The 26,297-nt window shown below is 46.1% G+C and overlaps 1 long non-coding RNA gene across 3 annotated transcripts in view, besides 3 other annotated features; it reads left to right on the forward strand.

The window, feature by feature from the left end:
• ZNF496-DT (ZNF496 divergent transcript) overlaps positions 1–20,556 on the forward strand; it is a 45,179-nt gene extending 24,623 nt beyond the window's left edge. For 2 of the 3 annotated variants that reach the window (NR_168399.1, NR_168396.1), the window contains exons 2-3: positions 17,331–17,467; positions 17,981–20,556. This is a non-coding gene — a long non-coding RNA (ZNF496 divergent transcript). Of the gene's footprint in view, positions 1–8,553; positions 8,608–17,330; positions 17,468–17,980 lie in introns of all 3 variants that reach the window. The other variant, NR_168397.1, reaches the window with a different exon arrangement.
• Positions 1,054–1,353: an enhancer, noted in NCBI's record as "active region_2866". NCBI's record gives its function as "activates an Ori minimal core promoter by ATAC-STARR-seq in GM12878 lymphoblastoid cells {active_cell/tissue: GM12878}" and the evidence as "EXISTENCE:reporter gene assay evidence [ECO:0000049][PMID:35858748]".
• Positions 5,958–6,502: an enhancer, noted in NCBI's record as "H3K4me1 hESC enhancer chr1:247525936-247526480 (GRCh37/hg19 assembly coordinates)". NCBI's record gives its function as "activates a minimal SCP1, AML or CMV promoter by ChIP-STARR-seq in naive H9 embryonic stem cells {active_cell/tissue: H9 hESC(naive)}" and the evidence as "EXISTENCE:reporter gene assay evidence [ECO:0000049][PMID:30033119]".
• Positions 17,216–17,265: a silencer, noted in NCBI's record as "silent region_2047". NCBI's record gives its function as "represses an Ori minimal core promoter by ATAC-STARR-seq in GM12878 lymphoblastoid cells {active_cell/tissue: GM12878}" and the evidence as "EXISTENCE:reporter gene assay evidence [ECO:0000049][PMID:35858748]".
• Positions 20,557–26,297: the final 5,741 nt, after the last annotated feature.

A 26,297-nucleotide genomic window follows, 5' to 3' on the forward strand; every position in this document is an offset into this window, starting at 1 on the left:
ACAACCAGGAGGAGTTTGCAGAAAACAATATCCCATTTCTGTTGAAGGGAGAAAAGATCTCCAACCAGTAATAGAGGGATTAATTAAAAATGGACTGTTAGAACCCTGCATGTCACCATATAATACTTTTTTTTTTGAGATGGAGTTTCACTCTTGTCATCCAGGCTGGAGTGCAATGGCATGATCTCAGCTCACTGCACCCTCCACCTCCCGGGTTCAAGCAATTCTTCTGCCTCAGCCTCCTGAGTAGCTGGGTGCGTGCCACCACACCCAGCAAATTTCTTTTTGTAGTTTTAGTAGAGATGGGCTTTCACCACATTGGCCAGGCTGGTCTGGAACTCCTGACCTCAGGTAATCCACCCGCCTCAGCCTCCCAAAGTACTGGGATTACACGCTTGAGCCTGTGCCTGGCCAATACTCTAATTCTTTGTGTTGCTTATCTGGGAGGGAGAGATTCTGTGTCTATTCCCAGCCATCTTTTTGCAGCTGCAGGCATCTCCCACCGCCCCCCCATCCCAGTCAGCTTTAGCTTCCCTATCTTAATGTGCCTAAAGGGAAAGGAATGTGCTTATTAAGGCCCACTGTTTATACTGGGCCCGACTGTGGGAGTGTGAAGTTTGGTGTTTACCCAGGAGACATCCCCCGCCTCCTTCTATGCTTAAGTTGTTTATCTGTAGTTTATAGCCTGAACTTTCAGGCTACCCTTTGTTAAAAGAGAAGTGATTTCTTTGAACCGCACGAGATTAGAAAGGAAGCTATTTCAAGAGTGTTAAGGGGAATTATGGAAGGTTTACAAATTTGATGGGATTATCCCACCCCTTGGCATCCTGTGGAAAGGTAAAAAGAATAAACCAAACTCTCAAAAAGCATCTCACCAAACTAAACTTAGAAACTAAAGTGCCTTGGACCAAATATCTCCCATGGCTTTAGGATTAGGATTCGGACAGTCCCCAGAAAAGACTTGGGATTGTCCCCTACAAGTTATTATATGGACTCCCATATTTGGGCAGGGCTACAGATCCTCCCACTATGGAAACCAAAAACCAATTCTTAAGAAATGATATACTGGCCATATCTTCCACCCTGTCATCCCTCAGGTTAAAAGGTCTTCTGACGCAAGCTCTGCCTCTTGAGTTCATGGTTCACTACTTCCAGCCTGGCAACTTGGTGCTGACTAAGATTTGGAAAGAAGACAAGCTCCACCCAAGCTGGGAAGGTCCCTGTCAAGTGCCTCTGCCCCTGAGACAGCCCTGCGAACAGCTGAATGGGGGTGGACTCACTACACTGGAATCAAGAGGCCGGTAAAAGAGACCTGGAAAGGGAAGGAGAAAGAACAGTGGGAAGTGCATGGGTCACCTGACGAACACTTAAAGTTAACTCTGAGAAAAATTTAGAAAGAAAGCGTGGGCTGGCTGCATTTCTGAAAGGTAATAAGGCTGGGATGGGTTAGTATACAAAGAGCAGAAGGTCAAAATGGAAACTGGCAGGGGACTCCCCACTGCTCAATCAGGTTGGTGATTAATATGATTAAGACGGTAGCACCCCAAACTATAAGATTTGATGCCTGTCAGGTTTTACCTTGTGGGAATTTAGAAAATCAGAGACAGCTCTCGCAGGCAGATAAATCTCTTTGCCTTGAACCAGATGCAGGTTGCAGTAGGGCATCACCCTTCCCCAGCTGGGAGGATGTATGGTGCGCTACCCAATTTCAGGGTTGGACAGTAAACATGGTGTGGGTAACTCCAAACTGGAAACCCTTGAAGCATAAACTACCTCTGTCCAAGCGCTCCCCACCAAATAACTGCCAGAATTTAGAATGCCATCCTATACTCATCACCCTTGACAATTCAGCCTTTCTAGACCAAGAACCAAAAGTAGCATCTCAGGTATATGGGTTAGGAGAAGACATCACAAGGAAAGACCCCCAGGTCGATTTGATCTCAGGCTAATCAAGAACTCAACCTCCCATTTGCCTGGAACTACTCCAACCCCAGACCCTAATAAACACTTTAGTCTACCAAATATTAACCCTAAAATGGTAACAATAATTGAGGTAAAGGATTTAAGGCAAACCTTAGAAATTGAGACAGGGTATAGGGATGTGAATGCCTGGGTCAAATGGGTCATATTTTCGGTACAAGCCCTCAGCAAAAGTAACTGCTACGCGTGTGCTGCAGGACCACCTCAGGCGCAGGTGGTTCCGTTTCCCCTGGGATGGAATAGTGATTCTAGAGGAATGTGTTGCATGTTGGCTGCATACCAGCACAATGATATAAGTAAGGAGAAGTAAGACTTGTAAGAGTCTTTCATTGCTGTTTCCTGCATTGCGGAGCTCAGATCCCAGAGCAATACCCTCGTTCTCTGCAGAGAACATGAACTACTCCTCTTGCCTCTCTAGACAGGGGGCAGAGTTCCATAAGCCTATGGGAGAACTCTCAACTTGTACCCACATCCTAAACGTCACTGGTGAGTTGAGCAATGGCAATTACTCAGCTCTCCATACACCCCGGGCTGATGTCTGGTAGTATTATGGGAAAAGGAACCTACGTAACCTGTTACTGTCCAATGGGACCAGGACTTGTGCTTTAGTCTCATTGGCCATTCCCTTCACCCTGGCATCCCATAAGATACCCCAAAATACACATGGCCACTGAAACCAGAGAGATTTCACAAATTCTTTTAATCCCAATGTGTATGTTGACTCAATAGGAGACCCTGGTGGGGGTAGGGTTGCCTAATAAATTGAAGGCCTGAAACGCAGTAGGTGCTGGGTTTAAAGTCAGGACACTTCTGCTGGTCAACTATTAAGAAGAATGCGAATTAAATTAACTCCATCTATTATAATCAACAGGAATTCATCAATTATACTTGGGATGCCCTCAAAGGGTGGCTAGCCAGTTAGATGCCACCAGCTAAATGGCCTGGGAAAACAGACTTGCGCTAGACATGATACTAGAGAAAAAGGGAGCGTGTGTGTTATGCTGGGCGGGAAATTTTGTACTTTCATTCCCAGCAATACTGCCCCAAATGGGACCATCACAAAAGCTTTACAAGGACTAACAACTCTAGCCAACGAACTGGAAGAAATGCTCGGAATTAATGACCCATTTACGGGTTGGCTAGAAGGCTGATTTGGAAAATGGAAAGGAATGGTAGCTTCAATCCTTATATCTCTCATAATTGTGGCAGGATTCTTAATAGCAGTGGAATGTTGTATTATCCCTTGTGTGAGGGGACTAGCACAGAAATTAATTAAAACAGCTATTAATAAACAAATGCCCATGACTTACCAGCAAAATAACCTGCCACTATTAGAAAGCAAATTAAACTCACTCTCCTATGAGGAAGAAAGTAAACAACTTCTGGAGCGATTCACGGCCCAAAAGGGTTTAAAAGAAAATGAGAACAAAATAAGTAAATAGAAAAGAGGAGGGAATTGGTGAGAAAACCTTTTAAATGGTCCATTTGCAAGGCATGATAAGTCTAAGCACTGGCAGCCAGCCTGCAAATGTAAGAAACCACATGGCTCATGCACCCAGAAGGTCACAGTAAGTGGACAGAATGTAGAGGTGTGGTCAGCTCATAAAAGGGAAGAAAGTTTTGTTATGGGGAAATCAAAACTTAAGTGGGGAAGAGGACGGGGTATAACTTTGTAAGGGGGATAATGAAAGTTAGGCGATGTCCGGGAAGATTGTAACCCCACAGTACTCAACCAGTGAGGAACTGGGGGAGGGACTTGTGTGCTAGGACATAAATTACCCGTTGTGACCGCCCTGGTTGTGCCTGCTCACCAGACACCCGATCTCGCAAGACCGTTATGAAAAGTCTCCCTTTCGCTGTTCTTTGTGCCTCTAAGTCCATTCTTTGGGTTTGGATGGGTGAGTGTGTTTCTCACAAATGCACCACTGCACCCCTGCCTAGGTGACAGAGACAGACTGTGTCTCAAAAAAATGAAAATATCAGGGAACTCAATGCAAAAGACTGCGGCGCTTTAGACTTGAGAGTAACCTGCCCATGACCCTTGGGGCTCCGTGAGGAAGACAAAAGACCCCCAAAAGGAGGGTGTATGGCACCTTTTTCTGGTTTCTCAAGGGGTCTCAGGACTGCTAGAAGTTCCCTCTTGATTTCTTCGTGTGTTATTGAAGGTGGCAGAAAGGAAGAAGGGCCAACAGTAAATGGGAAAACAATTCTTAGAGGGCTCAATTTGGGAAGATTTTAAACTTCCCAAAAAGGCCAAGGATGTTTTACATTTTTCTCAGTAAAAATCATGCCGACAACAACAACAACAAAAAAGTGAACAGATGGAAGGAACATAAAATTGCTTTTTAACAAAATTTCAGTTGACTGAAAAGAATTCCCAGGGTAGGAACAGGATCCAAAGAGAAAAAGCATTGCTCTATATATCTGCCAGGGAAAAATCCCCCAAAAACTAAAAGAAAAAAGAAAAAGCAGAAGGGTGTGTTGAAAATACACAAGCAGCAAGCTTTCTGTTTCATGAGCACGTGGCCTAACACTGGAGTGGAAAGAATTTCGGCTGTGGAGCGCTCCCACCCGCTCTGCTCATGGGAGGAGCCCTGCCTCTCTTCAGCTTCCCAGCAGTGGTGGGAGACACACGTCTCTTCTGCCCACGGGAGGAAGCGAGACAAAAGAAAAAAGTTGCTATCACACTCTAAATACAAACCAGTTTTCTATCAAAGGTATACCTGAACAAATGACTCAACGCCAAGTGAAATAAGCACCAAGGAGACCAGAACCAAGAAGCCTTTCACGGCTTTCACCAAGGTCTCCAGAGAGGAGGCAAAAGTTGCAACCCTGCTCAGATCCAGACCACTCCAGGCAGCTCAAATAAAGGAGAATTTTAGTAGCTGCAAATGGGGCTACTGTCTGGCCATATTATCTAGGGTTTCAGCCTCTCAGCTGGCTGACTGCACACAAAGGCCTGACAACCCGTATCTCCCACAGACGGAAGATTGCATGGCAGTTTGTAAGATGGGAAGTCAAAAGCTGTCTGTGGGAATAGACAGGATTGCAAAGTGAAAGGGTACCCCAAAAGGTCAGAGTTATGCAAATACCAAACTAACTTTTTACAAATGTTTCTATTTGTTTTGTCCTGAGTTAAAAGATTTGCATTTCCAAGAGTCTGGTTTCCTGACTGGGAATCAAATCCAGGCTGTGGTGGTGAAAGCATGGAACCCAGGCCCTAGATTAGGGTGGCCCGTCTTCTTTGTAAATCCCAGGGGGATCCAAAACAGGCAGCTTGGGCGCACTATATATATATATATATATATATATATATATATATATATATATATATGTGACATATATATTATATATGTGACATATATATTATATATGTGATATATATATTATATATGTGACATATATATTATATGTGATATATATTATACATATATAACATATACATGTTAGAAATATATATTTTTTATATCATATATATATATTTGTTTGAGACAAAGTCTCGTTCTGTCACCCAGGCTGGCGTGCAGTGTGGTGTGCTCATGGTTTACTGCAGCCTCAACCTCCTAGGCTCAAGCAGTCCTCCTGCCTACCCCTGGCTGAGTAGCTGGGACCACAGGCGTGTGTCACGATGCCTGACTCATTTATTTGTTTATTTATTTTGTAGAGATGGGATCTCCCTATGTTGCCCAGTCTGTTCTCAAACTCCTAGGCTCAAGCAAGCCTTCCTTGACCTCCCGAAGTGTTGGGATTACAGGCATAAATCAGTGAATCCAGCTACACAAAGGATTTATAACTTAGTTGTAAATCTGATTTCTGCCTTAAAAAAAGAAATCCTGCTAAGGGAGTTTCTAAGGCTATATATTCCTTTTGTGTCTTTTCATAGGTACCAATAAGAAAGCTGTTTAAGACAAGAGCTCTTAGTGGCCGGGCGCGGTGGCTCACATCTGTAATCCCAGCACTTTGGGAGGCTGAGGCAGATGGATCACCTGAGGTCAGCAGTTCGAGGCCAGCTAGCCAAGATGGTGAAACCCTGTCTCCACTAAAAATACAAAAAAAAAAAAAAAAAAATTACCTGGGCATAGTGGTGCGCACCTGTAATCTCAGCCACTGGGGAGGCTGAGGCAGGAGAATTGCTTGAACCCGGGAGGCTGAAGTTGCAGTGAGCAGAGATTGCGCCACTGCAGTCCAGCCTGGGCGACAGAGTGAGACCTTGTCTCAAAAAAAAAAAAAAAAGAGACAAGAGCTCTCTAAAAAGTTTTCTTTTAAAATATAACTTTTTAACTTATTTATTATGTTTTTTCAAAATTTCAACTTTTATTTTAGATTCAGGGGATACATGTGTGGATTTGTTACATGGGTATATTGCATGATGCTGAGGTTTGGGGTGCAAAGCATCCTTTCACCCAGGTAGTGAGGATAGTACCCGATAGGTACTTTTTCAACTCTTGTCCCCCTCTCCCTCCACCTCTCCCCTTCTCCTCTCCCCCTCTCTCTCTCTCCCCTTCTCCTCTCCCCCTCTCTCACTCTCCCCTTCTCCTCTCCCCTCTCTCACTCTCCCCTTCTCCTCTCCCCTCTCTCACTCTCCCCTTCTCCTCTCCCCCTCTCTCTCTCTCCCCTTCTCCTCTCCCCCTCTCTCACTCTCCCCTTCTCCTCTCCCCTCTCTCACTCTCCTACTTTCCTACTCTCCCTGCTCTAGCAGGTCCCAGTGACTATTGTTTCCATCTTTATGTCCATGTGTATCCAACGTTTAGCTTCCGCTTATAAGTGAGAATGTGGCCGGGTGCGGTGGCTCACGCCTGTAATCCCAGCACTTTGGGAGGCAAAGGCAGGCGGATCACCTGAGATTGGGAGTTCAAGACCAGCCTGACCAACATGGAGAAACCTTGTCTCTACTAAAAATACAAAACTAGCCAGGCGTAGTGGCGCATGCCTGTAGTCCCAGCTAGTTGGGAGGCTGAGGCAGGAGAATCACTTGAACCTGGGAGGCCGAGGTTGCAGTGAGCCGAGATCACACCATTGTACTCCAGCCTGGGTAACAAGAGTGAAACTCCGTCTCAAAAAAAAGAAAAAAAATGTGAGAACATGCAGTATTTGATTTTCTGTTTCTGCGTTAGTTCACTTAAGATAATGGCCTCCAGCTGCATCCACATTGCTGCAAAGAACACAGTTTTGTTGCTTTTTATGGCTGTGTCGTATTCCGTAGTGTATACGTACCACATTTTATCCAATCCACTGTTGATGGGCACCTAGGTTGATTCCAGCCAATTTATTTATTCCATAAGTGACTCAAACCAATAATCATTTTTTTATGGAAAGTTCTGGAGGTAGCTTTCCAGGTTTAGAAGAGCATAGGTGTTTGTGGTGTATTTAAAATGAATGGGCCGGGTGCGGTGGCTCACGCCTGTAATCCCAGCAATTTGGGAGGCCGAAGCAGGCGGATCACAAGGTCAGGAGATCGAGACCATATTGGCTAACATGGTGAAACCCCATCTCTACTAAAAGTACAAAAAATCAGCTGGGCATGGTGGCAGGCGCCTGTAGTCCCAGCTACTCGGGAGGCTGAGGCAGGAGAATGGCGTGAACCCAGGAGGCGGAGTTTACAGTGAGCCGAGATCATGCCACTGCACTCCAGCCTGGGAGACAGAGCGAGACTCTATCTCAAAAAATAAAATAAAATAAATAAAATAAAATGAGTGCAGAAGATGCACCCCCTCCTATGATCCTTCCCAAAAAACACATTCTCAGAAATAGGCTAAGATAGCCGGGCCTGGTGGCTCACACCTGTATCCTAGCACTTTGGGAGGCTGAGGCAGGTAGGTCACCTGAGGTCAGGAGTTCAAGACCAGCCTGGCCAACATGGTGAAACCCCATCTCTACTGAAAATAACAAAAAATTAGCCAGATGTGGTGGCGCATGCCTGTAATCCCAGCTACTTAGGAGATTGAGGCAGGAGAATCACTTGAACCTGGGAGGCAGAGGTTGCAGTGAGCCGAGATCATGCCACTGCACTCCAGCCTGGTGACAGAGCGAGACTCTGTCTCAAAAAAGAAATAGGCTAAGCTAGCAAGAGGCTTGCTGCCATAGACAGCTAAGGATGGTGTTTACTCATGGGGTGCCTTAAGTATCCCACAAATTTGTGAGAGGCTGCCAGCCACAGACCTGTTAATCTGTGATAACTCCTGTGATTGGACTTTCCCAGGACTAACAGGGACAAACAAGCATTGCCATGACAAAAGTCCCTTATGTATGGGACTTAATACAAATGACCTTGAGTGCTCGGCACATTCAGAGCAGAGTGTGCTGCTTAGTATCTTACTTGTCAGGGGGTTCCCAGTCTTTTTAGACTGGTGATGTGGTTTGGCTGTGCCCCCACCCAAATCTCCACTTGAATTGTATCCCCCAGATTTCCCACGTATTGTGGGAGGGACCCAGGGGGAGGTAATTGAATCATAGGGGGCTGGTCTTTCCCATGCTATTCTCATGATAGTGAATAAGTCTCATGGGATCTGATGGGTTTATCAGGGGTTTCTGCTTCTGTTTCTTCCTCATTTTCTCTTGCCGCCGCCATGGAAGACATGCCTTTCGCCCTCCGCCATGATTCTGAGGCCTCCCCAACCATGCGGAACTGTAAGTCCTATTAAATCTCTTTTTCTTCTCAGTCTCGGGTATGTCTTTGTAAGCAGCATGAAAACAGACTAATATAGTAAATTGGTACCAGTAGAGGGGGGCATTGCTGAAAAGATGCCTGAAAATGTGGAAGCAACTTTGGAACTGGGTAACAGGCAGAGGTTGGAGGGCTCAGAAGAAGCAGGAAAATGTGGGAAAGTTTGGAACTACCTAGAGACTTGTTGAATGGCTTTGACGAAAGTACTGATAGTGATATGAACAATAAGGTCTAGGCTGATGTGGTCTCAGATGGAGATGAGGAACTTGTTGGGAACTGGCTGTTGCCCAGACTGGAGTGCAGTGGTGCCATCTCGGCTCACTGCAACCTCCGCCTCCTAAGTTCAAGCAATTCTCCTGCCTCTGCCTCCCGAGTACCTGGGATTACAGGTGTGCGCCACCATTCCCCGCTAATTTTTCTATTTTTAGTAGAGACTGTGTTTTGCCATGTTAGCCAGGCTGTTTTCAAACTCCTGACCTCAGGTGATCCACCCACGTTGGCCTCCCAAAGTGCAGGGATTACAGGCGTGAGCCACCGAGTCTGGCTGACTCTTGTTATGTTTTAGCAAAGAGAATGAAGGCACTTTGCCCCTGCCCTAGAGATTTGTGGAACTTTGAACTTGAGAGAGATGGTTTAGGGTATCTGATGGAAAAAATTTCTAAGCAGCAAAGCATTCCAGAGGTGACTTGGGTGCTGCTAAAAGCCTTCAGTTTTAAAAGGGAAACAGAGCATGAAAGTTTGGAAAATTCGTGGCCTGACAATGTAAGAGAAAAGAAAAACCCATTTTCTGGGGAGAAATTCAAGCTGGCTACAGAAATTTGCAAGTAAGTAGCAAGGAGCCTAATGTTAATCCCCAAGACCATGGGGAAAATGTCTCCAGGCCATGTCAGAGACCTTTATGGCAGCCCCTCCCATCACAGGCCTGGAGGCCCAGAGGAAAAAGTGGTTTTGTGGGCTAGGCCCAGTGTCTCCAGGCTGTGTGCAGCCTGGGGACTTGGTGCCCTGTGTCCCAGCTGAAAGAGACCAATGTACAGCTCAGGCTGTGGCTTCAGAGGGTAGAAGAGGGTGGAAGCCCCAAGCTTTGGCAGCTTCCATGTGGTGTTGAGCCTGTGGGTGCACAGAAGTCAAGAATTGAGGTTTGAGAACCTCTGCCTAGATTTCAAAGGGCATATGGAAATGCCTGGATGCCCAGGCAGAAGTTTGCTGCAGGGGTGGGGCCCCGATGGAGAACCTATGCTAGGGCAATGCAGAAGGGAAATGTGGGGTGGGAGCCCCCACACAGAGTCCCTACTGGGGCACCACCTAGTGAAGCTGTGAGAAAAGGGCTACCATCCTCCAGACCTCAGAATGCTAGATCCACCAACACCTTCCACCATGCACCTGGAAAAGCTGCAGACACTCAACACCATCCTATGAAAGCAGCCGGGAGGGAGGCTGTATCCTGCAAAGCCACAGAGGCAGAGCTGCCCAAGACCATGGGAACCCACCACTTGCAGTAGTGTGACCTGGATGTGAGACCTGGAGTCAAAGGAGATCATTTTGGGAGCTTTAAAATTTGACTGCCTTGCTGGATTTCAGACTTGAATGGGCCCTGTAACCCCTTTGTTTTGGCCAATTTCCCCCATTTGGAACGGCTGTATTCACCCAATACCAGTACCCCCATTGTATCTAGGAAGTAACCAGTTGACTTTTGATTTTACAGGCTCATAGGTGGAAGGGACTTTCCTTTTCTCAGATGAGGCTTTGGACTATGGACTTTTGGGTTAATGCTGAAATGAGTTAAGACTTTGGGGGACTGTTGGGAAGGCATGATTGGTTTTGAAATGTGAGGACATGAGATTTGGAGCCACCAGGGGTGGAATGATATGGTTTTGCCATGCCTCTACCCAAATCTTAACTTGAATTGTACCTCTCAGATTTCCCACATGTTGTGGGAGGGACCCAAGGGGAAGTAATTGAATCACGGGGGCTGGTCTTTTCAATGCTATTCTCGTGATAGTGAATAAGTCTCACAAGATCTGATGGATTTATCAGGGGTTTCTACTTTTGCTTCTTCCTCATTTTCTCTTGCTGCTGCCATGTAAGAAGTGGCTTTTGCCCTTTGCCATGATTCTGAGGCTTCCCCAGCCCATGTGGAACTGTAAGTCCAATTAAACCTCTTTTTCTTCCCAGTCTTGGGTATGTCTTTGTAAGCAGAGTGAAAATGGACTAATACAACTGACCAACACACATGACCCAAAAGTCCCAAAAGTCATGCCACTCCCCCAACCACTCCCCGGGTTGGTAGAGACCAAGCAAGAGTGCTCCCCACTTGGTCACAAGTCAGGCTCTTGAGAGCCTGACATAAAAGATATTAAGCAAGATGAGAGGGAATCTTTATGACAGCAAGACAGAGACACAGGAAAAAAAAGAATGTTTCTGAAAGGAAAAAGATCAGACAACATGAAATAGTCATACCAAAAATAAACCAGCGTTTGTGTGTCTAAAATTAGCCTGTATAAATGCTTTTCTTGGCTGGGTGCAGTGGCTCACCCTGTAATTCCAGTACTTTGGGAGGCCAAGGCAGGAGGATTCCTTGAGTCCAGATGTCAGATATATTTGAACAAGAGGGACTCCATCTTGAAGATGGGCTGGGTAAAAAAAAGCTGAGAACTGCTGGGCTCCCAGGAGCTTAGGCATTCTTAGTCACAGGATGAGTTAGGAGGTCAGCACAAGATACAGGTCACAACAACCCCACTGATAAAGCAGGATGTGGTAAAGAAGCCGGCCAAAACCCACCAGAACCAGGATGCTGATGAAAGTGACCTCTGGTAATCCTCACTGCTCATTATGTGATACTTATTATAAGGCATTAGCGTGTTAAAAGACACTCCCACCAGCACCACCACAGTTTACAAATACCATGGCAACATCCAGAAGTTACCCTATATGGTCTGAAAGTGGGGAGGAACCCTCAGTTCCTGGAAATCCAGTCCTCTTTCCCGGAAAACTCATGAATAATTCACCCCTTGTTTAGCATACAATCAAGAAATAACTGTAGGTATACTCGGTTGAGCAGCTCACACCACGGCTGTACCTATGCAGTAGCCATTCTTTTGTTTCTTTTACTTCCCTAATAAACTTGCTTTTACTTTACTCTATGGACTCGCCCTGTATTCTTTCTTGTGGGAGGTCCAGTAACCCTCTCTTGGGGTCTAGATTGGGACCCCTTTCCAGTAACACAGGAGTTTGAGGCCAGCCTCAACAACTGAGACTCCATCTCTACAAAAAAATCAAAAAGTTAGCAGGGAATGGTGGAGTGCACCTATGGTCCCAGCTACACAGGAAGCTGAGGCAGGAGGATCCCTCGAGTCCAGGAGGTTAAGTCTGCAGTGAGCCATGACTGTCCCGCTGCACTCCAGCCTGGGCAACAGAGCTGATTCTAAATAAATAAATAAATTCTTTCTTTCCATTTATCTTAAATTTGGAAAAGGAAAAGGAAACAGTTTTACTGTCTGCTTGATTGGATTGCACAGACAGATGCTGTTTGAAATGTTTCTTCCTTGGTGCGGTAAAGAAATAGCACTTGAACATGAATTTAATTTATTTAGTAAGGCCATTTTTACTTCTTGCAGAAAGGGTACACTCATCAGCAGTTTTGCCATGAGAGTGCATTGAACAAAGGAGACAGGGTCATTTATAACCTGACGCGTCCTCCCTACTGCTGTGTCTGGTTTCCACTGGCTGGAGCGGGACCTCACATTCTGTATTTGTCTCGATTGGCTAGCAACTTAGAACTTTTTAAAAGAGGCAAAGGTAGAGGGGAACAAAGGAAAGAGGAAGTAACTGGTGGAATGCTGAGAAAGGTAAAAACACCTTCAAATAAGGAAGAGGAACAGGCTGTGACCTAATGCTTACTTGGACCAGTATAAGCATGCCAGGGCAGATATTTAGGCTAAATTGTGGGAGCTAAGAACATAAAGAACATTGATTTCTTTATTACGGCTAGCAGATATTTAAGAATGTTAGCACAGGTCTTTGAATAAATTTTGCTTCTAATAGAAGTTACTATTTATTCCTAATTAGATGGGGAGGAAAGTCTTTGAAGAGGAACCTCTACTTTACTTTTTACAGATGCCAAGAATCTAACTACTCCCAAATTCTTCCCCTTCTGCTGGCCTGTCAGGCCCCAGGTTCCTTGGACTCCTGGCTTCAGAAGAGCTAAACAGTTTTGGTGATCCTGCTCACAGCGCCAAATCTGTAGGGGCCAAGAGAAAGCTGCTTCACTCTCTGAAGTTTTGCTGCAAAATCAACTGACAATAGGCAGATTAACAGGGAGATAAGCATACAAAATTTTATTTTAACTCACATAGCATGGGTAATTGTAGGAGAATGATTACTGTGCCACTGGCTTTTTTTTTTTTTTTTTAAGACGGAGTCTCCCTTTGTCGCCAGGCTAGAGTGCAGTGGCGCGATCTCCACTCACTGCAACCTCCGACTCCCTGGTTCAAGTGATTCTCCTGCCTCAGCCTTCTGAGTAGCTGGGACTGCAGGCATGCGCCATTACGCCCAGCTAATTTTTGTATTTTTAGTAGAGACGGGGTTTCACCATGTTGGCCAGGATGGTCTCCATCTCCTGATCTCGTGATCCTTCTGCCTGGACCTCCCAAAGTGCTGGGATTACAGGTGTGAGCCACCGTACCTGGCCCAGTATCTCTTTTGTTACTTGGTTATTTCACTTGGCATAGTGTCCTCAAGATTTATCCCTATTGTCCATATAACAAAATTTTGAATTTTTTTTTTTTGAGACAGAGTCTGGCTCTGTCGCCCAGGCTGGAGTGCAGTGGTGCGATCTCGGCTCACTGCAAGCTCCGCCTCCCGGGTTCACGACATTCTCCTGCCTCAACCTCTGAGTACCTGGGACTACAGGCGCCCGCCACCACGCCCGGCTAATTTTTTGTATTTTTAGTAGAGACGGGGTTTCACCGTGTTAGCCAGGATGGTCTCGATCTCCTGACCTTGTGATCCACCCGCCTTGGGCTCCCAAAGTGCTGGGATTATAGGTGTGAGCCACCGCGCCTGGCCAATTTCGTCTTTTAAAAGCTGAATGAGTATTCAGTTATTTGTGTTTTTCAAATTGTCCTTATCCGTTTTTTCATCGAGGGAGTTTGGTTGCCCCCACTGTATTTTAATGCAAAACAAAAGGAAAATTTCCCAGGTTGAGAGGAGCAGTAAAGCCTGAAGTATCACTCTCTGCCCAGACCTCAGTGGTGGGCTTGCTTTGAGCATTCTTAGGCAGCCCCACTTCCCTTAGGCACTTCCCTTCCCTTTGTTGATTAAAGAAGAAACTGAGGCAAAATTAATATAAGTGGAGTTTATTTGGGCCAAGTTTGAGGACTGTAAGCCGGGAGAGATAGATTCAAGTTGCTCTGAATATATCCTCCAATTAGCAGCAGTTGCAAGTGAGTTTTTAAAGGATGAAAGAGGCAGTTCCTCAGCTGTTTATAAAAAATTTACATTAAAATAACATAAGCTATTGGTTAGCTATACATTTTTCTTTGTATCACAAACGCTAGCAACATGGAGATAATAGGTGATGCAGCTAGTCAGGAACAAAATGCCTTTAAACAACTGCCCCCGCCTTGCCCCCGCCCCCCCATACTGCTGTCTCTCTGAGCCTGATAAATTTTGTATGCCTCCCGGGGAATTGTTTGAACCCGGGAGGCAGGGGCTGCAGAGAGCCTCGATTACATCACTGCGCTCCAGCCTAGGTCACAGAGCAAGACTCTGTCTCAAAATAAATAAATAAATAAATGTTGTATGCCTTACATAACTCAGAATGTTCTCAGCTACTCTCTCTTCTCACCTCCAGGAATGGGAAAGTGAAGATGCACTCCCAGTGGAGGAGGGTTTATTATGGCTCCAAGCACAGTGTCTGCTCTTACTACTCATTAGCAGTCGTGTAGCCTATTCTAAAATTAAAGTGTCTCGAGTGGGACAAATCCTGAAAAGAATGTTTTTTACAAGTAATGTGCTGCTACTGGGGATTCTGGGGTGATCCATCCTGGGACAGTCATCCTCTGCACCCTGTCTGGCCTGGGGCCAAGGAGTGATCTTGAGCAGTCACTGCAGTGGCTAACCCTGGAATCTAAGGCCTGCCCAGAATGCACATCCAGAAGCCCTAGAATGCGGGGGAAAAAGCCGTATTTGCACATCCAGAAGCCCTAGAATGCGGGGGGAAAAGCCGTATTTGCACATCCAGAAGCCCTAGAATGTGGGCGACAAAACCGTATTTGTGCTTCTGTTACTGGAAAGGGGTCCCAATCCAGACCCTAAGAGAGGGTTTTTGGATCTCGCACAAGAAAGAATTAGGGTGACTCTGTAAAGTGAAAGCAAGTTTATCAAGAAAGTAAAGGAATAAAGATTGGCTTCTCCACAGACAGAGCAGCCCCAAGGGCTGCTGCCTGCCCATTTTGATGATTATTTCTTGATGATATGCTAAACGAGGGGTGGATTATTCATGTCTCCCCTTTTTGGACCATACCGGGTGACTTCCTGAGGTTGCCATGGCGTTTGTAAACTGTCATGGCGCTGGCGGGAGTGTAGCAAGGAGGACAACCAGAGGTCACTCTCGTGGCCATCTTGGTTTTGGTAGGATTTGTCCGGCTTTTTTACTGCAACCTGTTTTATTAGCAAGGTCTTTATGACCTGTATCGTGTGCCTACCCCCTATCTCATCCTGTGACTTAGAAAGCCTTAACTGTCTGGGAGTGCAGCCTTCCAGGTCTCAGCCTCAATTTACCCAGCCCATGTTCAAGATGGAATTGCTCTGGTTCCAATGCCTGTCACAATTCTGCGGTATTCCAGCCGTGCAGGTGCTGCGGAGACGTGGCGTCCATTCCCGGGACTAGTGGGAACACGCACATGCACATTTAGTAAAGGGTGACCGTGGAGAGGCACAGGCCCTGTTTTTTTTTTGTTTGTTTTTTGAGACACGGTCTCGCTTAGTTGCCCAGGCTGGGGTGCAGTGGCGCGATCTTGGCTCACTGTAACCCCCACCTCCTGGGTTCAAGCGATTCGCATGTTCCTGGCCTCGTGTGATCCACCCGCCTTGGCCTCCCAAAGTACTGAGATCGCAGGCCTGAGCCTGTGATCCGGTCGCTCCTGTCGTTTTGTTTGTTTGTTTGTTGTTGTTTGTTCGTTTTTGTCGCCCAGAGCTGGAGTACAATGGCACAATCTCAGCTGACTGCAACCTCCGCCTCCCGGCTTCAAGCAGTGCTCCTGCCTCAGCCTCCCGAGTAGCTGGGATTACAGGCGCGCGCCACCACACCCGGCTAATTTTTGTATTTTTAGTAGAGACGGGGTTTTACCATGTTGGCCAGGCTGGTCTCAAACTCCTAACCTCGTGATCCGCCCGCCTCGGCCTCCCAAAGTGCTGGGATTACAGGCGTGAGCCGCTGCGCTCAGCCCACTATGGTCGTTCTTAAAACAAATTGCAAGGTCATGCGTTTTCCTCCCAGAAGAGTGATAGACCCATCCCTGGCACTGCCAAATTTAGCTGGAGCTGAATTGTTCCGCAAGTTGTACTTGGCTGTGACCACCAGAGGGCGCCGAGGACAGTACGGACGCCGTCAGCGTCTCGGTCACATCCTTCCGTGTCCAGCTAGAAAATGAATGGGAAACCCGGGCACTGAGGCTCACGCCTGTAATCCAGCACTGCAGGGGGCGAGGCGGGCGGGTCACTCGAATTTAGGAGTTTGAGACCAGCCTGGGCAACATGGTGAAGCCCCATCTCTACTGACAGTACAAAAAAAATATGCCGGGCGCGGTGGCTCACGCCTGTAATCCCAGCCTAGGCGGGCGAATCACCTGAGGTCAGGAGTTCGAGACCAGCCTGGCCAAAATGGTGAAACCCTGTCTCTACTAAAAATACAAAAATTAGGCCGGGCGTGGTGGCTCACGCCTATAATCCCAGTACTTTGGGAGGCCGAGGTGGGCGGATCACGAGGTCAGGAGTTCAAGACCAGCCTGACCCACATGGTGAAACCCCATCTCTACTAAAAATACAAAAAAAATTAGCCGGGTGTGGTGGCATGTGCCTGTAATCGCAGCTACTCAGGAGGCTGAGGCAGGAGAATCGCTTGAACCCAGGAGGCGGAGGTTGCAGTGAGCTGAGATAGTGCCATTGCACTCCAGCCTGGGCGACATAGCGAGACTCCATCTCAAAAAAAAAAAAAAAAAAAAAAAAAAAAAATATATATATATATATATTTAGCCGGGCGTGGTGGCGCGCGCCTGTAATCCCAGCTACTCCCGAAGCTGAGGCAGGAGAATCGCTTGAGCCCGGGGGCGAAGGTTGCAGTGAGCCGAGATCGCGCCACTGCACTCCAGCCTGGGCAACCGGGTGAGACTCCGTCTCAAAGAAAAAAAAAAAAAAGAAAAAATGAAACGAATCGGGGCGTGTTACATCTCGAAGCCTGGCTTCTTTAACAGCTTCCCCAGCGCCCCAGTCTATGTTACTGGGAGTGTGAAAGCGACCAGCCCTGCAGAGGCTTCCCCGCGCCCCGCGCCCCGCGCCCCTCGCCAACCCCCGGTGCGAGCCCAGGGCACCGAGCCCCGCAGCCGCTCAGGCCCACCCGGTGCCTGCAGCCAGCGCACACTGGGTGCTGGGACCAGCACTGAGCGCCTTTTCTGTTTTTTCTTACAAGGTTGGGTTTCAGCCGAGCAAGTCTGAGGCCCCTTTCCCGCGCCCTCTGGTGGAAAGTGTTCGCTTTTCTGTCCACCCATGTGAAGGATTCACCCCGACCCTCCTCAGGTGGCCTTTACTTTGCAGGAGCAAAGCAAGGTACGGGACATTGTTCCCTCTTTTCTGTTTCTGCCTTTTCTTTCTCCTCTGCCCCCTCCCCGCCTCCGTATTCCTCCCTCTTCCTCATTATTTCTTCTTCCTTCTTCCTATTGAATTTGGGATTGAAAAGTTTGAAGCTCCTAAAGGAGGCCAGCCAGCTGGTTGGCCTCCGTCTTGCTGACTTTGGGCAGTATCATGGCTTTGTTTAGAGTTGGTTGTGAGAAGGAAATAAACCATAACACTTCGGTACATGTGTGTTATTTGTTGATACACAGGCGCACACACACAAATGTGAATGGGCGCTTATATATCATTATTTCCCTCTCGATATATCTTTATCTATATTTAGATATTTTGGAGGCATACCTTTTATCCAGGATGGCTCTGTTCGCAGAGGGTTGAACTGTGGACGAGGCATCTCGGTTTTTTGCTTTTGCAGTTTACATTGTGTGTGGTGGGGTACATGTCTGTATTATCTGCACAAAAATTAAAACAATTTTTAAAAAATTTCAGTTGGATGAGGAGATACATGTATGTGGCACACAGCTTTCTTCACTTAGCAACACGTCAGATGCAGCGTAGATGTGCGGATGAAACCACCATTGCAAAATTATCACTGAGACAGTCAGAGAAACCTGACATGGCTGACTCCATGTTGCTTTTAGCCTCACAGGCTGGCTCTCTTAGCTCATTCCTAAGCATGGGCCTGAAACTGCCATTGCAAAATCGTAACTGAGACAGCAAAAGAGACTTGACCTAACCAACTCCATCTTGCTTCTAACCTCCAAGCTGTCCTTGTTCATTCCTGGGTGTAGGCTGAACTAACTTTGGGAGGAACTTAATTTATAGTTTAAAACAAAGACGATAAGACGATAACAGCCCTTTCTCAAAACAAACATCCTTCCTGACTGGGGACTAGACTGCCTTTGTAGGATTAACAAATTAGCCACAAGATCAGAAATTATAGTTTAGGAGTCATGCAGCTGGAGGCTCTAAGATTGTGACCCTCCCTAAACCGCTCAGTGCTTGAGATGTTTTACAGACCCTGCACTTAATGGATCAGCTGGCACCACCCAGATGGATAAACTGGCTCATGTGATCTTGTGGCCCCCACCCAGGAACTGACTCAGTGCAAGAAGACAACTTCAATTCCCTATGATTTAATGTCCTACCGAATCAATCAGCACTCCTGACACACTGGCTTCCCCTCACCCACCAAATTGTCCTTAAAACCTCTGATCTCCAAATGCTTGAGGAGACTGATTTGAGTAATAATAAAACAAGGCTCCTGCACAGCCGGCTCTGCGCGAATTACTCTTTCTCTACTGCAGTTCTCCTGTCATGATAAATCGGCTCCATCTAGGCAGCCAGCAAGGTGAACCCACTGGGTGGTTACAGGCCACGCTAAGTTCGGGAGAAATTTAGTTTATGGTTTAAATGATAACAGCCCTTCCCCAAAACTAAACTGCCCTGGTAAAACTAATGAAAGGCCGCCAAGTTAGGAGGATGACAGGGGCCTGAATTCTACTGAGCCGTAAGCGTAATTACCGGCCATTATTCCAGAGGACACAAGATTTGCAACTTGCCTAATTACTCCTGCAAAGAACATCGCTACTGTAGCACCTGAGAATGGCCTTTTGAGATGTGTTTTCAGGCTTTTGCACTTCTGACAACTGATGGCTGCACTTGGACTCGCCAGCCGGTCCCGCGTCCCCACCAGAAGCAGAGTAAGCACAAGAGGACAGCTCCGACTCCCTAGGATTTCAGCTCTGACCAGTCGCACGCCTGGCTCACTGGCTTCCCCACACCCACCAAGTTGTTCTTAAAAACTCTGCTGCCCGAATGCTCAGGGAGAGTGATTTGAGTAATAATGAAACTGTTGTCTCCTGCACAGTCGGCTCTGCGTGAATTACTCTTTCTCTATTGCAATTCCGCTCTCTTGAGAAATCGGCTCTGTCCAGGCAGCAGCAAGGTGAAGCCACTGGGCGGTTACACTGATATGATTCCCCCTTTGCAGTTTTTACTCTCTTGGTGCTGCAAACAGTTCCTCACTGAGGACCCTTGTACACGTATCACTGTGAGCATGAATCCGAATTTCTTTAGGAGACATACATACTAGTGGGTATGTGCATGTTATGTAATTTCTCTTAGCACTGTTTCCTCACTCATCAAATAAGGATCAAGTAGTTCTCACCACACAGGGTTATTTTAGAAATAATTTAGTATACATAATATACAATGCAATAACAAGTACTGATGTCTACTTCTTTTAGGTTATATGATAATACCTTATACATAGTACATGTGTGATTATATATATTGCAATGTAGAGTACGATCTATAATTTACAGAACTGTTGTTTATATATAACAAATGCTGTCCTTGCGATAGTTTGCTCAGAATGATGGTTTATGTATACATATGTAACAAACCTGCACGTTGTGCACACGTACCCTAGAACTTAAAGTATAATTTTAAAAAATGCTATAATTCATGTGGTGATTATTATCTACCAGTTACATCATCGATAGAATGAGGACGTTGTTAACGGTACACGCCAGACAGGATGGCTGTGAGGATCTGTGATAATAAGAATTAGATATTTGGTCTTTGTCCCTGTTTCCTGATGGAGGCTTCTAAACCCCTTGGAATTCCCTGACTGATAGGGGCAAGAGGAAATCTTTTGTTATTCCTAACGAGCCCCTTTCATCCATGCCTGTGTTTATGCTAATGAGGTGACTCCTGGAGGATGAGGGCTGGTTGCCAGGGGAATCAACTTTGCCTTGCAACTTTCAGCTCCAGTCCGTGACTTCCAGGGAAAGAACAGGGGCTGGAGATTGAGTTTAATCGCCAATGACCAGTGATTTGATCATTCATGCTTAAATAATGGAACCATAAGAAACCTAAAGAAAAGGTTTGGAGAGCTGCTGGGTTCAGGAGCACATTCGTGTGCTGGGAGGGTGTTGTGCCTGGTGAAGGTGTGGAAGCGCTGACTCTGCCTCGCATACCTTGTCCTGTCTGTGTCTTTCATCTGGCTGTTGCTGAGTTGTGCTGTTTATAATAATAAACTGGTAACAGGAAGTAAAGCACTTTCCTGAGTTTTGTGAGCCCATTCTCTTGATTTACCAAACCTGAGATAGAGGGATTGTGTGTGGGAACCCTTGAATTTATAGCTGGTCAGTCAAAAGTGCTGGTTAACAAACCTGGAACTTCCATGAAGTGGGGGCAGTTTTGTGGGACCAAGCCCATAACCTGTGGGATTTCACTCTAGCTCCAGGTAGACATGTCAGAATTGAATTGTAGGATACCTAGTTGGTGCCTGCTGTGTAGAAGAAAAAAACCCACAGGTTTGGTGTCAGATGTGTTGTGAGTAAAACTGTTACAGGAAAGCGGTCTCTGTCCAGACCCCAAGTGAGGGTTATTGGATCTCGCGCAAGAAATAATTCAGGGTGAGTCCATAGAGTAAAGTGAAAGCAAGTTTTTTAGGAAAGTAAAGGAACAAAAGAATGGCTACTCCATAGACAGAGCAGCCCTGAGGGCTGTGGGTTGCCCATTTTTACGGTTATTTCTTGATTATATGCTAAACAAGGGGTGGATTATTCATGCCTCCCCTTTTTAGACCATATAGGGTAACTTCCTGACATTGCCATGGCATTTGTAAACTGTCATGGTGCCGGCGGGAGTGTAGCAGTGAGGACGACCAGAGGTCACTCTCATAGCCATCTTGGGTTTAGTGGGATTTGGCCGGCTCCTTTACTGCAAACTGTTTTATCAGCAAGGTCTTTATGACCTGTATCTTGTGCCGACCTCCTATCTCATCCTGTGACTTAGAATGCCTTAACCATCTAGGAATGCAGCCAAGTAGGCCTCAGCCTCATTTTACCCAGCCCATTCGAGATGGAGTAGTTCTGGTTCGCATGCCTCTGACAAAGCCAGTTCAGAGAATTAAGTAGGGTGATGTTTACAAAGTGCCTTGCATACCTCTTGGACATAATTTTTCATAAGGATTGAATTAACATTATCAAGAAAAATGAATCAAGTTCATTTTAACTAGTGCATATAAATCTGATAGGCATTGATTGTGCACCTATTTGCAAAGCATGGTGCTGATCCCTGGAAGAGACGGGACAAGGAGGCAACTGTATGTAGGGTGCCCTGTGAGTGTGCATATAAGAGGCGTGGATTAGGACAGACACATATTGAGGGAAGAGCATGTGAGGACACAGCAAGAGGGTGGCCATCTACCAGTAAAGGGGAGAGGCCTCAGAAGAAACCAAACTTCCAGTAACGTGATTATTTTAACAGGGACAACAGATGGCTCTGGGTGGTTCCAGGCACCATGACTGACAGATTTGGAGGTGGAGGGGTGTTTCCAGGAGAACAGAGGAGGCTGTCTATCATCCTGAGGCTCTTGGACAGGAGCTGAGAAGTACAAAAGCACCCTCTGTCAGGGAAGGGATGTCGGCAGCTTGGCTCTTGTTATGGCAGTGGTAAGGGAGCTGATGGGAGAACACCTTCGCATAAAGCAAACAGAACACTTGCAATGTGAATGGAGAACCTTACTGATATGAATAATTTCAACATTTGGAGGTATAACATAGACACCCGAAACCTGGAGAGTAAAGAGCACGCTAGCATCACGTGCGGCCAACCTGGCCACGAGCTGCTCTCCCCGCCCTCCCCGCACACGTGTCCCTTCAGGGAGGGAGAGGAAGGTCATGACCTGGCTGCGCTGCTCGCCCCACACACGTGTCCCTTCACGGAGGGAGGAGGAAGGTCGTGCGATGCAGGTGTTGCTCCTTGCGTCATTCCCTGAGCTCCCTTTGTGTGTCAAGCAATCTGGGCACTGGGTACGCAGAGATGAATATACTGGGGCCCATGGACCCGAGGCCATGGACTAGTTGGGGGCCAGACATAAACAAATACAATGTGGGACATAACCCCATCCAAGAGCGCACAAAAACACAATGGCCGCCGAGGAGCAAGCCCTTCTTGTCCTGCCTCCAAAAGCCAACTCTGGTTTCTTTTTTTTCTTTTTTCTTTTCTTTTTTTTTTTTTTTGAGACAGCGTCTCACCCTGTCCCTCAGACTGGAGTGCAGTGGCACGATCTTGGCTCACTGCAACCTCCCGGGTTCAAACACTTGTCCCGCCTCAGCCCCTGAGTAGCTGGGATTACAGGCACGCGCCACCACACCCAGCTAATTTTTGTATTTTTAGTAGAGACAGGGTTTTCTCATTTTGGCCAGGCTGGTTTCGAACTCCTGACCTCAGGTGATCCGCCTGCCTTGGCCTCCATAGTGCTGGGGTTACAGGCGTGAGCCACCGCACCCCGCCGCCAACTCTAGTTTCTAAAATATTTTAATATCTGCAGGGATTACTTTTTCATCTTTACACTTCCTTTTCAGAGTTTTCTGGCTTTTCTCACATTATTCTGTGTAGTTCTCCCTTTTCTCCCCCAACTATGTTAACTATTTAGATTAACTGGGGGAGAAATATCAGATTTCTGGGACTGAGCTGATATGGTTTGGATCTGTGTCCCTACCAAATCTCCTGTTGAATTGTAATCCCCGATATTGGAGGTGGGGCCTGGTGAGAGATGATTGGATCATGGGGGAGGAGTTCTGATAAATGGTTTGACACCATCCCCTCGGTACTGTCTTCGAGATCCTGAGTTTTCATGAGGTCTGGTCATTTAAAAGTGTGTGGCACCTCCCCCTCACACTTTCTTGCTCCTGCTTTGGCCATATGGTGTGTGTGCTCCCCCTTTGACTTCTGTCATGATTGTAAATTTCCTGAGGCTTCCCCAGAAGCTAAGCAGATGCCAGCAGTATGCCTCCTGTACAGCCTGCAGGACCGTGAGCCAATTATACGTCTTTTCTTTATCAATTAGCCAGTCTCAGGTATTTCTTTAGAGCAAGGCAAGAACAGTCTAATACATGAGACTTCTTAGCCTAGGGCATGGTTTATCTCAGCCTTTGTTCAAGCTTTCTTTGGTGACTCTCAGTACTTAAAACATTTCTTCATATAGATCTTGCACATTTCTTGTTAAGTAAATGTCTAGGTGGCATTTCATATTTTTGTTCGATTTCATAAAAGTAGTTTTCCTCCTTTCAACCTTTAACTTTTTTTAATTTTAAAATTTTATTTTTATTTTTTGACAAATTTTAATTATATAACCATATATAATTATGGGGTACACAGTGATGTTACTATATGTATACAGTGTGTAATTATTGAATCAAGCTAATTACTGTATTCATCACCTTAAATACTTATCATTTATCCTTCTTGTCTAACTGCAACTTTTTTTGAGTTAGAGGGCGGGGTCTTGCTTTGTTGCCATGCCTAGAGTGCAATGGTGGATGCAATCATCTCTAGTGAACTGAAGCCCCAAACCCTGGGCTCAAGCAATCTTCCCACCTCAGTCTCTCAAGTAGCTAGGACTACAGGCACATGACACCACACCAGGTCCATTTTTGAAATTTTTTGTAGAGAGAAGTTCTCAGTTGTTGCCCAGGCTCAAGTGATCCTCCTGCCTCAGTCCCCACCAGTGCTGGGATTACAGGTGTGAGCCACTGCACCTGGCCCAGCCACAATTTTTAATTCTCCTAATTTATTTATTTATTTATTTTTTATTTCTTTGAGATGGAGTTTTCCTCTTGTTGTCCAGGCTGGAGTGCAATAGCATGATCTTGGCTCACTGCAACCTCCGTCTCTCGGGTTCAAGCGATTCTCCTGCGTCAGCCTCCTGAGTAGCTGGGATTACAGACGTGCGTCACCACACCTGGCTAATTTTTGTATTTTTAGGAGAGACGGGGTTTCACTATATTGGCTAGGGTAGTCTCAAACTCCTGACCTCGTGATCCTCCTGCCTCAGTCTCCCAAAGTGCTGGAATTACAGGTGTGAGCCACCATGCCCGGCCCTGGAGAGAAGATTTAACACTTGTAAAATTTTCATTTGCCAGTTTCTTAATTGGATTACTGGCTTCAGGGTGGAGCCCTTGGAGGAACAGGGCCAGGAAAGCATGCATATCTAGGGCCAAGTAAGCAGCAAATAAGCAGCTGAAGGCAAAGACAGATCCCCAGAATTAAGGGTGCCATTTTAAACTGGGTTCTCCATCCCCAAAAGGAGGGAACTACTACAGGAGAAGACAGTGCAGTGCTGCTACCCTGCGTTTCATTGCAAGGCAAACCAAAGCCAATCAGCCCATTTTGTAATTGGACCATTCCCCATAAGAGTCTTATCTCTCAGTGGGGCTGGGGGTGTTTCCACATCCTCCAGGTGGCCAAGAGCATGCTTCTCTAATCCAAGTATGCGAACAATCAGGTATTCTTCCATAACTGCTATTAGCCATGCACTAAAGTATATCTCCTACCTAGTTATTAGACACCAAGTGTTTTCAAATAAAGGGAAGTAATTTCTGATACGCCTGAAACTCAAAACCATTAGATAACGCAATGCAAAACAGAACAGAGCCTTTGATTTTGAGAGGGATTTATCTGCTTTTAATTGCTAGGGTTCTATGTGGAAAACAGAGCTTTTTTTTTTTTCTTCCAAAATGGGGTTGGTGGTGCTTCCTGTTTTTCCCAAGAAGTCCCAGGCTACCAGAAGTCATCTCAGGGCCTCTCATGTGTGCATTAAGATTGGCAAGACAAAAAAAATGGAGGAAAATAATTCAGTCAGCTGAGAAGAAAAAAAAACTTTTTCCAGGAAAAACAAGATCCAAGGAGAGAAAAACATAAAGGGCTTTTAAATATATTTATAGCACCGGGCATGGGGCTCACACCTGTAATCCCAGCACTTTGGGAGGCCGAGGTGGGCAAATCAGGAGGCCAGGAGTTCAAGACCAGCCTCGTCAACATGTTGAAATCCTGTCTCTACTAAAAATACAAAAATTAGCCAGGAGTGGTGGCGCACGCCTGTAATCCCAGCTACTCAGGAGGCTGAGGCAGGAGAATCTGCTTGAGCCTGGGAGGCGGAGGTTGCAGTAAGCTTAAATCTTGCCATTGCACTCCAGCCTGGGTGACAGAGTGAGACTCCATCTCAACAATAAAATAAATAAATAAATAAACTTCTAGCTTGTTTATCCACTTTTAATTAAGCTGACTTTTAACTATGGTGCTTTTTTAAAAAAAATTCTTTTAAATTTTTTATTACCCAACTTTAGCCATGCCAAGTGGCCAATATTTTTGGCTTTTGAATTCCATAGGTAACTTTCCACATGAAATTAATAAGTTTTAATTAAGGATATAACTTAACCATGGAAACGTGAGTGTCTCAAAGAGATGGTAAGCAGTTTCTTTTTTTTTTTTTTTTTTTTTTTACAAGATTTAGAATTTCCCCTAGGGTATTTTAGAGAAATAAAACTTCAAGACAGGAAATCAGAAGCTATCCATGGTGGGGGGAAACCTCAACAAATGGCAAAGTTACATAAGTAAAAAAACCAGAAGGGAATCATTCCAGAAGCCAAGAATAGAACCCAGGCTCAGGCCGGCACGGTGGCTCACGCCTGTAATCCCAGCACTTTGGGAGGCCGAGGTGGGTGAATCACCTGAGGTTGGGAGTTCAACACCAGCCTGACCAACATGGAGAAACCCCGTCTCTACTAAAAATATAAAAAAATTAGCCAGGCGTGGTGGCGCATGCCTGTAATCTCAGCTACTCAGGAGGCTGAGGCAGGAGAATTGCTTGAACCCAGGAGGCGGAGGTTGAGGTGAGATGACATGGTGCCATTGCAATCCAGCCTGGGCAACAAGAGTGAAACTCCGTCTCAAAAAAAAAAAAAGAAAAAAAAAATTAGAACCCAGGCTGCCATTGTCAAAAGACAAA

The sequence above is a fragment of the Homo sapiens genome, chromosome 1 (assembly GCF_000001405.40).
Source record: "Homo sapiens chromosome 1, GRCh38.p14 Primary Assembly".
NCBI lineage: Eukaryota > Metazoa > Chordata > Mammalia > Primates > Hominidae > Homo > Homo sapiens.